This window comes from Homo sapiens, chromosome 14, assembly GCF_000001405.40.
Source record: "Homo sapiens chromosome 14, GRCh38.p14 Primary Assembly".
Lineage (NCBI taxonomy): Eukaryota > Metazoa > Chordata > Mammalia > Primates > Hominidae > Homo > Homo sapiens.
In genome coordinates this window covers 47,208,269-47,223,186 of record NC_000014.9, presented here as the reverse complement: position 1 = coordinate 47,223,186, position 14,918 = coordinate 47,208,269, and the positions used below count along the sequence as shown (strand labels likewise).

Sequence of the window (14,918 nt, the reverse complement as noted above, 5' to 3'; positions counted from 1 at the left end):
CCAGGGGAAGGTAATTTAAACATGGGATCCGATCTTTCCCATGTTATTCTTGTGGTAGTGAATAAGTCTCACAAGATCTGACGGGTTTATCAGGTGTTTCCGCTTTTGCTTCTTTCTCATTTTCTCTTGCCACCACCATGTAAGAAGTGCCTTTTACCTCCTGCCATGATTCTGAGGCCTTGCCAGCCATTTGGAACAGTAAGTCCAATTAAAACTCTTTTTCTTCCCAGTCTCAGGTATGTCTTTACAGGCAGCGTGAAAACAGACTCGTACAACTGTATTCATGGATTTTAGTATGAAATGGTTTTCTATTCATCGGCTTCTGGATACTTAGCAATTTTCCTTTTAATTTTCTCTTTGAACAATAACAATGTGAATAAAGGTTTCCATGTATTAGTCATCTTTTGATAATTTATTTATAGCTGTATTGAACTAAGTTTCAATAGCATGCCTGTCCTACCTCTAATTTTTGATTAGTGAAGGTTTACTTTGCTATCAACTACATGATCAATTTTTGTAAATATTTAATGGACATAAGAAAAAAATTACCTTGTGGATAGATGACTTTCTGTATATTTATTAGTCTTATATGTTTATTGTATTTTTTTAGTTTGTCCTGTATTTCCTCTTAACTTAAAAAGTTGCACTATCAAGAACTGCCTGAATCTCAGAAAGCTGTATTGTAACTTTCTACTGCAATTGCGTGTTTGTCAAATTCTTCCCTTTTTAATTTTGTTTGCTTTTTGTCTTTAGTGGCTCTGTACTTTACTGAATACCAATCACAAGTAATATATTTATGCTTTTGACTTTTAATATTACAAAAAGTGATGTCTTTCTCTCCCTGTTAGTTTTTAACTGCAAATTTATTATTAATTTAATCTTATTATATATAAATATTATCACTCCTAATTGGTTGATTGATTTTAGTTTACATAATTCCATTACAACTTTATCCATGCCTTCTTTTCCCATCTTGGCTTCCAATTTTCTATTGTTCCAATCATTTATTTTTATTAGATGTTAACTGTACGCAAGCTTGTTTTAACTTTTAAATTCAGTCTAGTAGGCTCTTTTAGTGGATAAATTCAATCTATTCACATCTAGTCTATGACTGATATAAGTGTTGTATCTTACTGTATAGTGGTCTATTGCATAGAATGGTGACTCTAGTTAATAATAATGTACTGTTAACTGGTTTCAAAATTAATAAAAGAGTAGGTTTTAAATGTTTCACCACAAAAAAAATTCGAGGAGATGAAATTGTCAATGGGCTTGATTTAATCATTCCACAATGTAAACTTATATTAAAACATCACATCGTACCCCAAATATATATACACACATATATATATTTGCCAATTAAAAATAAAATAAAAATTAAATGTATATTTATTTTAAATTATACATTTTTCTTTTACCTTTGCCCTATTTTTCTCATCATTTTACCAAGTTTCTATTTTTTCCACTCACTTCCCGTAATCTCTTTTTTTTTTTTTTTTGAGATAGAGTCTCGCTCTGTCACCCCGCCTGGAGTGCAGTGGTGCAAACTCTGCTCACTGCAAGCTCTGCCTCCTGGGTTCACGCCATTCTCCTGTCTCAGCCTCCCAAATAGCTGGGACTATAGGCGCCTGCCACCACTCCCGGCTAATTTTTTGTATTTTTAGTAGAGACAGGGTTTCACCATGTTAGCCAGGATGGTCTCGATCTCCTGACCTCGTGATCCGCCTGCCTCGGCCTCCCAAAGTGCCGGGATTACAGGCGTGAGCCACCGTGCCCGGCCCTCTTTATCTCATTTTTCCTTCCATTAATGAAACTGATTTTTTTGTGATACTTTAATTGACATTTATGCTTTTTAAAATGTATAAACAAGATCTGTTTCACCCACAGGGACACATTTTCCCCTTTCAACTATCCCAAGGTTTAAGATTCCAGAGTAACTTTTTTCTCTCCTTTCCTTTCCTTCCATCCCTACAATGTTACCTCTGCTTTGCATTACATTCCCACCCAAACTTCTAGGTTTTGCTAGGTTATTACAAATCTTCTTATTCTATGTCCTTTTGGTTTTAAAAAACTTTATTTAGTATTTAAATTGTATACTAACCCAAGGAAATCCTCCTTATTCATTAAATGAATATCTATTAACTGCCCACCACAATATGCTTTTCTATATCTTCTCACAATCCCAGACCTCAGATACAATTCGTTAGTTGGGAGTTAGAGTATTATTTCAAATATTTTCATCATGGGGGGCTATTTGAACCCTGAGGTTAATGAATGTTTGCATATCACTGAATATTTTTATTTCACACAAATGAGCTCTTGAATGGATATGGGATATTGGGAGATAGCCCTTTCCCTCACCTTTTTCAGTAAATGTGGATGTTATTCCACTGTTTTTGAGCTTTCCGTGTTGGAGATGAGAATGCTGAAGACAAACTGACCTCCATACCACTCCAGGAAAATCAATTAGAATTGAGTTTGGCTATCAGTCACAGAAAAATCTGAATAACAAGTAAACAAAAATTTTATTTTTCCCCATATAGAAGTCCAGGGCTATAAATAGTTTAGGTTAGGTAGGTATAACTCCATGGTGTCAGGATTTCAGATTTCTTCTATTTTACTACTTCTCTGTGCTTGATTTTTGTTTCAAATCGGCCCACTGTTCAAATGGAAGCTACCAAAACTGTGCAAAACATGAAGTGCTGCTTCCCTGTAAGGACATTTCTGCTTGAAACAGCAAGAATGTGGCTAAATGGATGGCTGGGAAATGTCTTTATCCTGGGCAGCCATGTGGCGATTAATAATTTGGGGTTTAAGAAGAAGGAAAGACAACATTAGGGAGTGACTGGGCTCTGTGACATTACAAGTTTGTCCCTTTTTCCTGGAAGCCTGAACAATTTTCTTTGTAGACTTTGAGGTCACAACTTTTATCGGAGTATGTATGGAGGTTTCTTTTCTCATCAGTTAGGCATGTGACTTGGTAAACTCTTCCAATGTGTAAATTTATGTCTTTCTACCACTCAGAAATATTTTATTTCAGTATTTATTTCTTAAAAGTAGAGAATAAAAAGGGAGGAAAAATTTTCTAAGTGATTATTTGCATTTCTTTCTACTTCTATTTTCTACTTTTCTATTTCCTATGTTTCATTTGAGAATTGTTTCATTTTTAAAACTTCTTTACAATAAACAATATTTGCTTCTGGTAAAGTAAATTAAGTATAAATAAGAATTTAAAATAAAACTTAAGAAAATAACATATTTCACTATCCTCTTTTTACTCCCAGTCCCATTTACAGAGTTTTGTATGTTTCCTTGTGTAATTTTAATAAACATTTAGTAATATGTACACACATGAATACACACATATGCTATTTTTACACAGACGAGACTATTCTCTTGTTTCTTGCTTTTTGTCTTTTTTAACTTAATAATACATTTTGTATTTTATTTTTTCTAATGACTGTATTCAGTTCAATTTTAGAGTCAATTTATAACCACCTATCGTTTAGCATTTATATCATTTCCAATGTTACAGTTTTATACATACAGTAGGCTAATTTCTATGCATTATTTTGCAAATATGTTAGTAAGGTAAATTTTAACCAGATAATTGCTAAGTGAAAGTGTTAGTATGCTTCCATTTTTGACATAATTTACAAATTTCTCCTTTTCTTCTTATGGGTATGTCAGTAATACATTTATAAACTACTGGAAATCAGAAATTATGCCATTTGCATCTTTGTGTATTCCATATATATAGAAGATTTGGAATAAATATTGATATTTCTTTTTGTGATTTACAGATTTTTAAAATTCATCTCTTAATAACATTTTTATTCCATTCACAATTAAGGGCAAACGTGGTTATATTTATAGATATTTTAATTATGTGGATAACTTTTAAAGATACTTTTTATGCCATTAGCTCATACATTTTAATTAACTTCATATGAAAATAGGTATATATAATGGCAATATTATAGGATTTCTGTTTTGATGATTCAGTATTTAGTTTCATTTTCCATGTCACAGCATATGTGTTTGAACAGAGGATTTCTATCAGCTGTTTCTCAACCTTAAAAACAAACTAAAATATATAGCAGGGCACAAAGGGAAATAAAATCAAATTATTTTTACTTTCTATTTTGTATCACTTTACAGTATGAGTATGTGGCTTTTATTCAGGTTTTATACACTAAAATACACAAAAGTTGAGTTGAATACCAGTCATTATTGCCAGCAAAAACGAAGTCTGTTGTAGACAGCTGTGTTTAAAATAATGGTATTGTTTATAATGAAATGTTTTAGATATTCAAAATGTTTTGGCAGTTTAGTAGAAATGTTCTCCTTGAAAAGTTTACATTATTTTTTAAAATAATTATTGATGTAAAGTGAATACTGATGATCAAAATAGACAAATCATTTGTGGGCTTATTAAGCAAAGCCATCAAAGGAAAACAAACTCTTAAACAACCAGGTGTTTAAAATTATACATAATCTCAATAAGCCATTATGGTATTATGTCTAAACTATTCAAATCAAATAGAAAATTTCAAATAAAAGAATGAGGCATGTCCAAAAATAAAATGAGAACCTACTTGGACAAAATAAGTAAAATTATCTCACAAGGTTTGGAAAATATGAAAAACAGATATAAATGTCCAACAAAAAGAAAAGTTAATCTATATTTTCAATGTACTACTGATATTTAACTCCCTTTATGTTATAGTTTATATTGCCCTCCACACTGACTAGGCAATTGATGAATTCTATGCAATTGAATTCAAATTACACACACTGTACAATGATGACATTACATTAAAAATTTTTTAATTCAATCGTGTCTGTAAACATTAATTTTTTCTTCAATAATTTGATGGGAGAGGCAATGTAGCAGCTCTAAATGCAAACTCTTCAAATGAGTGATTGCTATTTGATTTCTCTGTGGGAAAACCAACCTAAAGTAACAATCTTTGTTGATGCTTGCTCAGATCAGGTGGACCAAAACAGCAGGAAGTGCCTCTGACAGATTCCAAGACTCAAGTGTCTTCAATGAGACTTTGAGGATTACAAATATTCAGCGACACCAAGGAGGCCGGTATTACTGTAAAGCAGAGAATGGCTTGGGGTCTCCAGCGATAAAGTCAATCAGAGTGGATGTATACTGTAAGTAAATTTTCCAGAAAACTATAATTAAGCCTATTATGGATTTCTTTTGTCTTACAAGTCTATGGTTTTCTGAAAAACCATAGCGTTCTGTTTAGCTGAGAATGAAAACTGTGTAAAATAATGATAGCTCCCTTAAAACGTTCCTGAAGAAAGGAATCTTCACTAGAAACTTTCATAACTTCTATGATATAATACATATTCATTATGGAACACTTAGGAACAATATTAACAAGAAGACAGTAACCATTGGTAATCCCACTAATAACTAGGGTTTTAATGCACACATTTTTTATCTTTATATATAAAGATATACATGCATTTTTATATTTTTATTAAAATAGGATCATGCTGTATATTCTTTAACTTATGTTTATTTTTTTTACCTACATGTGAATACAGCTATTCTTGTTTATTTTTAAATGTACATCATACAAACAGAGCATTATGAATTGGCCTGTAAATGACCAAAAATCTCTACGTATAGTCTGCTTTTGGTCCAATTCTGTTAAAAGTAATCAGCACCAACCCTGGACAATGCTGTGCCACCTGAAAAGTGTTTGTTGATTTATTTTTGTTCTTAGTCTCATTTTCCTACATTTTGCTCTTGATGATAATATTTTAAATCTTTTTGGTCTCCTTACTTAATTCCCCACCGAAACAAAGCAAGGGCCTACATTTAATTTGGTCTTTTGCCCAGGTTTTTCTATCACTTCATTATGTTTTTACAAGAATTTGCATTTTAATTTTTAGGTCTCTGATGTAAGATAATTATTTTTCTTTTCTTAAAGTAATTTAGACATAAGCAACAACTGAGAGATGTTGTTTTTCTGCCTATCTTCCTTTCTTTCCCCTTTCTTTTCTTTCATTGCAGGATAGGATGTTACCTAGTTAGCAAGGGGCTTGAAATTATACATGGTCTACTTGTCAGATGCTCTGCTGAATCTCATTTAGTTATTTAGATGACTGAGAAGTGGGTGATAAAGCAGCACTTGTAATTTGCTTTCCACACTCAGATACCTGCTTTCCTTCTGGAAAGGATGGGGGAGAAATCCTTGTTTCATCCTCTCCAGTATCTTCTATTTCCTGAGGCCCCCTGCCCCTCATCCCTTAGCATAATTCAGAAACATTCATCCCCTGTACCACCCTTTCCTTATTATTATGGGTGCACAGGTTGACCACACCTGTATACTTCCCAAAATAATATAGCCCCTGGCTTCCATTTTCCTGACTAAATATTTTCAGTATTTTTGTTCATATACAATTTTAAATTAGGTTAAGTTTAATTTACATGAATTGAATACTTTTTGTAATATAATAGTGTAGAGTACATCCTTCTGCTGTTTTAGTTATTGTAGTTTAGGTCATGAAATTTTAAAATACACCTCTTCAATACCTTAAACACAATTGTAAAATCTAAAAACTTCTGAAAATCAGTGGGTATGTTTTGTTTGTAACTTTTATAAGCAAAACTTGATGTTAACTAGTGTGGTGTCAAAATTTGACCTGAAATGACTTGAATAGAAAAATAGAAAAAAGCTTTACACTCTTTATTTACCAGACTTTGAATAATCACGTTTTGCCCAGGAAATGTGTTTGATTATACAATATAGCCAAATATCCAGCTAAGTTTGTTATGTAATAGATGGCATGTATACTATATAACCTTTCTAAAATCTGAAAATTTCTGAAACACATACTCCAAAGGTTTTGAATATGGAATTTTTGACTTGCATTTCTGCAACAATAGGTCTGATAATTTAAAAATCTTATTGCTGGGTTAACAAGTTAAATATAAAGCGGGAAATTCACATTTTTAGAGACTTAAAAAATATTTTTCTCTTTTCCTTTTACTAGAAAGCCTTTTTCATTGCTAGTCTGCAGTATCCCTTCTCCTTTCTACCTGCTCATATCTCTTGCTGTGCAGACTGGGTTGTGCCTGAGTATCTCATTCATATCACACACCTTACTGGAAATAATAGCACTGTTATCTCCAGATTTCCCAAACCCTGCTAGCCTTCTAAAGTTTGACTCCTCTTCCATTCAACCACGCCTGAAGACATTTATTTTGTTACCTTTCTCTTCTTTGACTTCCTTTGGGGTTTTCTCATGCAACCTCGACTTGACAAGCATCTCGTTCTATGTTATTTCAATGAAACATCACTGTGATGCATACCATGTTGAAGTACTATTTTCAGTACTTGTTTGGTGGCTAGGCTTTATTAACAAGCTGTCTACAATTATACCATTTGAGAAAATAACATGATGTTAAGTTCTATACTCTATAAATAAACATGACATCTCTCTAATATAAATTTCCCAGAGAATGCCTTACCTTTAGCACCAATGATCTTTCTACTATGCGGATGTAAACATATATTTAAAGTAGTTATTCCTATTTTTGATGGCTTGAATAAATTAATTCCTTCAGATAGTAAATTTTCAAACATCCTTTGAGTGATAAGAACACTTAACAATAGAGACCACTAGACCTATCTAAGGAGTCCATGTGCTCCAAATACAACCTTGATTGAAGACCAGAGTTTTTAGGTTCAAGTACATTTTCTCTACCTGAGTTTCTATAATTTAAAACATGCTTTATCATTGTTGATAAAGACATGACTAGTGTATTCATGTTATGTTTAAATATGGCAATGCTGGTGTCTAAAATTGAATTATAATCCTTAAGATTTATTTGTGCTCTAATTTTGATTGAATGTTGGACAGCTTAGTTGAATAGATATTCATTTATATAAACTATAAGCAAGTGAATGAGTTAATTTATTTCAGGTACTTTTGCTTTAACTATTTTAGGAAATGCTAAAAAAAAAGGACTGTTTTTATCTGAAATCATGCCTTTAAAATCATCCACTGCATTGTAGGTTTCTGTTTCTTTTTCTAAACTGATTTCACATGTGGAACTTTCATCAATATCAGTACAACTTGGAAGCAGGATATGCATAAAAACAAAATACACTCATGCAAAATCAGCAGTAAAAACTATTTTTACAACACCAAGCTGAGGCAGACTATGACTTGGTTTAACAAAAAGAATAATTAATGATGTTAGAATTTATTCTTGAATCCCTTGTAAAAGATTGTCTCTAAAATCTGCCCCATAATCTATTGATGTATAATAACACATAATGTATATATTAATGTAATGCATCAGTAGTCTTAGAGAGCTTTTATAATAGTGAAAATGGGTACCTCTCAGCAAATCCCACGTTCTACAAGTTTCTACCTTTAGAGCTAAAACCTTCCTAAAATAAAATTATGTGCTAACATTATTTTGATGAGGAAATGTAGTTTCACGAAAGGAATTTGACACAATGGTGAATAATGTAAGATGAGATGACTTTCTTTAGATATTTTGAAATCTTTGTAATATCTATATTAACATTTTGATCACTTTGAGAAAGTTTATGTATCTTTATTGGCGACTTTTTCCCACATAATTTTCTAAAATTTAGTAGAAAATATTAAGGTATATAGATTTTATAAAGGAACTACCACATGCATTTTTTTACTATGTTAATCAAGAATACAGTTTGAAAAATTATTATAATCATGTTCCTCAATTTATAGGACCTATAATTTTATCATTTAAGAATTGTAAAAGCATTCCAAGAGTTTTAGGAAACATAATTTATTGATAAAATATGTTTATAGGCTGGTAGATTTTATAACCACACAGTGACTTGAATTTCCCGAATCTGATTTGGTTATTTATGCAAATATTTCTGATCAAAAGCTAACCAATTACAATTTTTGTTGTTGTTGTTGTTGGGGTAAATCGCTTCTGAGTGTCTTCTGAGTGGCTGAACATAGTTTCCCCCATGCCCACACAAATCTCATCTCGAATTATAATCACCATAATCTCCACGTGTCAAGGGAGAGACCAGGTGGAGGTAATTGAATCATGCAGGTGGTCTCTTCCATGCAGTTCTCGTGATAGTGAGTTTTTATGAGATCTGATGGTTTTATGAGGGACTCTTTACCCCCCTCTTCGCTCGGTACTTTTCCTTGTGAAGAAGCTGGCTACTACTCGCCAAAAAGGTACTCTTTCCATTCTGTGCTCAGCACGGCCGACTTGCGAAGAAGGTGCCTTGCTTTCTCTTTGCCTTCCGCTGTGATTGTAAGTTTACTGAGGTCGCCCCAACCATGCTGAACTGTGAGTCAATTAAACCTCTTTCTTTCATGAATTACCCAGTCTTGGGCAGTTATAGTGGTATGAAAATGGACTAATAGTATTCTCAGAAAAAAAAGGAAAATACTGTATTCATGAAACAAGAACAGGAAAACACAAACAAGGGACTTTCAGAGAATATAAAATAGCTCTTACATATTAAAAGTGATAACATAAAAATCAGCAGAAGGGCTGGAAAACAGTAAAACAAAATTTTACAATCAAGTAGATACTACGTAAGAAGATAAGAAAATTAGAGTATTTATCTAGCAGATCAAACATTTGAATAATAAGAGTTCCAAACAGTCAAAATGACGTTTTTTTTAAATTAAGAATTTCCTATCATAGTTGGACATGTGTTCTTAATTATAAAGCTACCACTGGATCCTTAACACAATGAAATAAATCTTCAATGCACATATCAGCATGCAACTTCAAAACATTAGGAAAAAAACGAAGCTCTTTAAAATGTCCAAACAGTTTTTATTTTTTCCAAAATGCTCACATGTAAAAAATTAGGAATCAAAATGGCACAGGTCCGCACAATGGAAATCTGGGGCTAGAAGGCAACTGAGTAAAGCTTTTGAAATTCTGAAGGAAAATTATTTCAACTAGAATCTTCTGTATGGCCAGGCTATTTTTTCAAATATCAAAGAAGAAGAAAGACATTTTTAGACCTATAAGATTTCAGTTTTTTTTGGCTAATGCACCCTTGCTGAGGATACTACTTTTATCTATTTTCCTCCAAAACTAAGAAGTAAACAAAAAAGGAAGAAATATCATCCCCAAAATAAGAGGCTATGTATAGGAAGATATTGAAGTTAATCTCAGAATGATAAGGAAACAGGGCAGCACGACAATAGAAGCTTGTCATACATTGAGCTTCAGAAGCAACCGGGACAGATTGAAGCTGGAATAATGGATGCTTACCTGATATTTTAGAGACAAATTCTCATGGAAATCTTAATAATATGGTAATGATAGGTGGATACAAAATTGAGTATACAAAATACGTGAGTTATTAAGGGAATGTAAAAAGCTATATGAAATGAAATGTAATCCAAATACACTACAAGGTTCCGCGGTAAAGATCGCTTGCATAGTCATAATAGCAACACTTGATTTAACCAAAAGCACGCTATAAATATATAGTGGATGAGAGGAGGTTAGTATAAGAGTTAAATGCTTCCTTTCTGTAAGAAGAAATCAGTAAGACAATGTGAAAATGAAAAATAAGTCTATAAACAGAAGTTGAACACTTAAAAATATGAAGGCAAAAGCATTTATAAATAGTTAAGAGGAGATGCATTAGAAAAGGTTGCCTCTGGGTATTGGAAATACCTAGGGTTGTTTGATGTATCATTATTTGGCTTTTAAAACTGCACTTGCATAGTTTGATTTTTAAAAAATTAATAAAGTACAGATGTGAAGATTTTTACCTTGGAGGTTCTTGTTACTAAGCTCCATGAAGTCAAAACCAATTTCATTCCAAATTTTAGCAGATCATTATTAATTCAGAAACTTAAAACTAGGTTTATACTCACACTTTATTTATTCATAAGAATTGGCATTCCTTTATATTCGACACCAAATAAAGTTGACTAAAAACATATTATCTCCTATATAAAAGATAGGCAAATAGCATAAGGAATGTTGGTACTACATTCTGATAACTAATTTTTCTTCTAAACTTTTTAGAATAAAACTCTTTAGGTTAATTTCCACTACAATTTTCTTACATGTTGTTTAGAATAAAATATTTTAAAAAATAACTTTGACTTTTACGTCATTCATTGAGTGTCTATTCAAAATATAGCTCCACTGAATTTTGTGGGCTAAAAAGGAACTTATTAAATAATTTATACCTTCAATGGGTTTAAACTACTTAAGAAGACAAAGTGACAATTTAATTCATTTAAATGGTTTACAAATGTTAAGTAATAAGGTTAATAACATAAATTATGCCACACAACAGTGAATGATATGCTAATGACCCTGAAAATATAGTGCTGGAAGTAAAAGTTTATTGTGGCCTCTTATGAAAGAAGTAGGATTTACATTGCAATTTTAAGGATGGGTTTTGAAAGAATTCTCCCTGGCAGTTCTACACTTTTTTTGGCAGCTTGGGTTCGGAACTCCTTTTTTCAAGAGTGTTTGTGTAACAAACAGCCTTGGACAATAGAGATAGTGTCTGCCTTTAGGGAAGAGGGCAGATTTGTTTCCTGACCAGGATAGTAAAGATAATATCTACCTCAGGGGCAAAGATTAATCAGGCTTTCTTGCAGGACCTTTATAAGATGGGGAGCTTCCTGAGCTCAGGGTCTCTTAGCTGTGTCAAAAACCAATGGTGTGCCTGGCATTCACCTGGGCTGCCCAACACATTGTTCCTATGAAAATTAAGGCGGGAAAACCTATGAAGACAGGAAGCACATACTTTTGAGGCTTCAGTAATGAGGTCTTTTCTCTCAGACCCAGGAGTCTTGTGTTTTTGGTTAGCATCCATGAAACTGTGGCAGACTAACATATTAGCAAGTAGGGAAAATATCAGACCCCTCACCATTCTTAACAGAGTAGTAGGGAAGGCCAAAGGTATCTTTTAATGGGTGAGAAATTTGATTAAAGGCACGAAATAAGGGAGAATAATCCCACAGAGTTTAGGGACTAGTGGTTACGATGGTGGGTTTGGGGGAGAAATGAGAGCTTAAATTGAAAGATAGACTGTTAATTATGTCATAATTATGTTGAACTTTTACTGCCAATGTTTTTACCATATGAATGATGATCTGCCATTTATGTAAGATGCAAAATAAATAAATTGTAACTTTCTTTTTTTATGTTTTATTTTTTTTAGAGACAGGGTTTGCTGTGTTACCTAGGCTCCAGTGCAGCAGTACAATCATAGCTCACTGTAACCTTGGACTCCTGGGCTCAAGGGATCCTCCCCCTCAGGCTCCTGAATAGCTAGGACTACAGGCATGCATAGTGGGGTCTTGCTTTGTTGCTCAAGCTGGTCTCAAATGCCTGGCCTCAAGCAGTCCTCTAGCCTCAGCCTCCCAAAGTGTTGGGATTACAGGCGTGAGCCACTTGTGCCCAGCCCCTGCAATTGTAATTTTATAACTGCAGAACTACTGATGAGGGTCAGCATTCTAATACCGATACTGTTTCATTTGTCCTAAGAAGCAATGGCCACTTATTGAGAACCCTAAAATCTATCTTTGGAGGAAGAAAGAGTATATCCTAGGTAGGAAAAAAAACGGTTTCATAGAATTTTGATGTGCTTATTCCCAAATATATTTGTTACCTTAAGATTCTTGAGGACATTTAAACAATTTTCTAAGAGTGTGTTCATCTAATTTTTTCACTTATTCTTAGCCATGACTGTGTGGTTCATAGGGTAATAGAGGCCATATGACTTTAAAGGTTAGGGTTTGATTAAAACTTGTTTTTAATTCAAAAAGAAATTAGACTGAGAGGCATTAGCTTAATAAGTTTTTATGTGTACAGACACTGTTCACACATGAGACAAATCTTTTCCAATATCCATTAAACATGTTGTAAGCATTCTTATTTCTGAAGCTTATCCCCTACTTTCATGTCACTTAGGTAGATTGCTGCATTTCATTATGTTCAGAACAAGCAGTGATATTTTTGGTCCTTGTCTGATAGATTTATTACATTTTCAACTGGGAGATTAGTATAACATATTATCAGTTTATTTTACAAGTACAATTTACCTGTGTTAGAAAGAATTATAAACCAAACAGCAAAATATTATTGACAATGAGTTTATTTTTATTGGAACCATCAACTTGATTTTTAGACAGAAAAGTTTAGGAAAAGGGCTAGAATGACTAATGGGAATTCTGGAAACGTGACAAACCCTGGAAAGAAAACAATCCTTTATGTAAATCCTATTAAGCAAAATTTTCTCACCCACCACCCATCCTCCCAAAACATCAGCCTTGGGTTTGGAAGGTCTTAATAATGTTTGATGTGGCAATTACAATGCTTATTAAAATGAGTTGCTGTCATGCAAATTGCCCTATTAATAAAATTTGAGACAGGATTTTGCAATTTTCTGAATTATACCGATGAAGAGTACTTGCTTATCAGTGTTATTTACAAGTGGGACATACAACCAATCTAATTTCCAAATAGTATTAGAGTTCCTAATAAAAGAGCTTTGTCAAAAATCCTATTACATACCTGTTTACTGATTCGTGTTCAGAAGACATTAGAGAAGAATTACTTTTAAATCAGTTTAGTCCTATCTCAATTATTATCCATTCAGTACTGGTCAAATGCACCCTCTTAAGATGCATTCACAGAGCACCTACTGGAGTCTTCCAGAATCTCACAAATACATCATCAGAATGGCAACTGTCAGCTTTCCCTCAGTTGCTCTGCACCTGTTCCTACTGCCTTTAGGTCCCTCATTCAACCTGATTCTGAAAATCTCAGGCATTCTATAAGCCTTCTGAGCTGGAGGGCTGGGAAGGCCACTTCAATTAGTCTGTCAGTTTGCAATGTTAACTGATGACCTACAATATGAAAACCACTCTACTCGAACTACTGGTGAGAGATAAAACAAAAATACAAGGCTTTTGCCCTGTAGAACCTTATAATTGGAGACATGAAAAATAGACCTAAAAGTATTTTGGTTAAAAATTAGATGAGTAAATCTAAAAAATTTGTTTACATATCAAAAGTACTAAGGGAAAAGTGATGCATGACATTCATTAGCCCTCTCACTAAATATGTTAAGGAATTTAAAAAAAAAGGATATAATCATTACATCAGTGTGCATTTAATTTCTAGGTTGTTACTCTTATAAAAACTATCCATTCCCGAGCAAACGTATTCTCAGGAATACATTTGTAATGAAAGCTTGTAGTGTTTTTCATAAAGATAGAAGGCTATTCGAATGTGTGCCTGTGTTTATACTTTTGCTCTTATTGTTACCAAGAGATCTTTTAAAATGTTCACATCTAAATTTCATAAAGATTCTCTTTCATCTAAAAATTATTTATAAATTTGGTCATTTAAAAGAAGTAAATCTATGGTTAAACTGAATAAAAGGCCCTTAAGAACACAGTCCATTGTCTAGGTGGGATTCCCTAGCCAAAGGTTATGTGGCAGGCAGATGCTCCTGCTGAGTCAGCCAGAGAATGGACATTGGCATCCAGGGTTCTGATTTCCAGGCGGTTCATGGAGCCCTCTGAATCTAGCTTTCTCCCTGAGGGCAAAGTCTGCTACCGTCAACTCTGTATTGCACAGACATTTCATAAAAAAAAAAAAAAAGAGTTTAGAGAAGGAATATAATTTGTACAAGTAAAGTGAGCTAATAAAATGGTTTGAATATAAAAAAGGGAGGATGTTTAATGTGTTTTTTTCCCACGTATTTTAAAGTCCAGCAAATTCTGAGTCACACAGAAGGTAAAGTAAAAGTTTGAAAGGTAAATTATTGCTTACTTAATTATTTAGCACTTGAGGCCATACTTTCTCTGAATGTATTCAGAATACATTATACTATCAAATTTAAATTTATAACAGTTTCAAGGAA

At 33.1% G+C, this 14,918-nt stretch overlaps 1 protein-coding gene across 10 annotated transcripts in view, besides 1 other annotated feature; it reads left to right on the top strand.

Annotated features, from left to right (window-relative positions):
• Positions 1-14,918, top strand: part of MDGA2 (MAM domain containing glycosylphosphatidylinositol anchor 2) — an 835,983-nt gene that overhangs the window by 452,419 nt on the left and 368,646 nt on the right. For 8 of the 10 annotated variants that reach the window (XM_011536519.3, XM_047431048.1, XM_047431049.1 and 5 more), the window contains one exon: positions 4,992-5,166. In XM_011536519.3, the coding sequence (XP_011534821.1) occupies positions 4,992-5,166 (175 nt within the window). The remainder of the gene's footprint in view (positions 1-4,991; positions 5,167-14,918) is intronic. The other 2 variants (NR_103766.2, NM_182830.4) reach the window with 1 other exon arrangement.
• Positions 9,074-9,274: a silencer, noted in NCBI's record as "peak2152 fragment used in MPRA reporter construct". NCBI's record gives its function as "represses an SCP1 promoter by STARR-seq MPRAs in K562 erythroleukemia cells {active_cell/tissue: K562}" and the evidence as "EXISTENCE:reporter gene assay evidence [ECO:0000049][PMID:32103011]".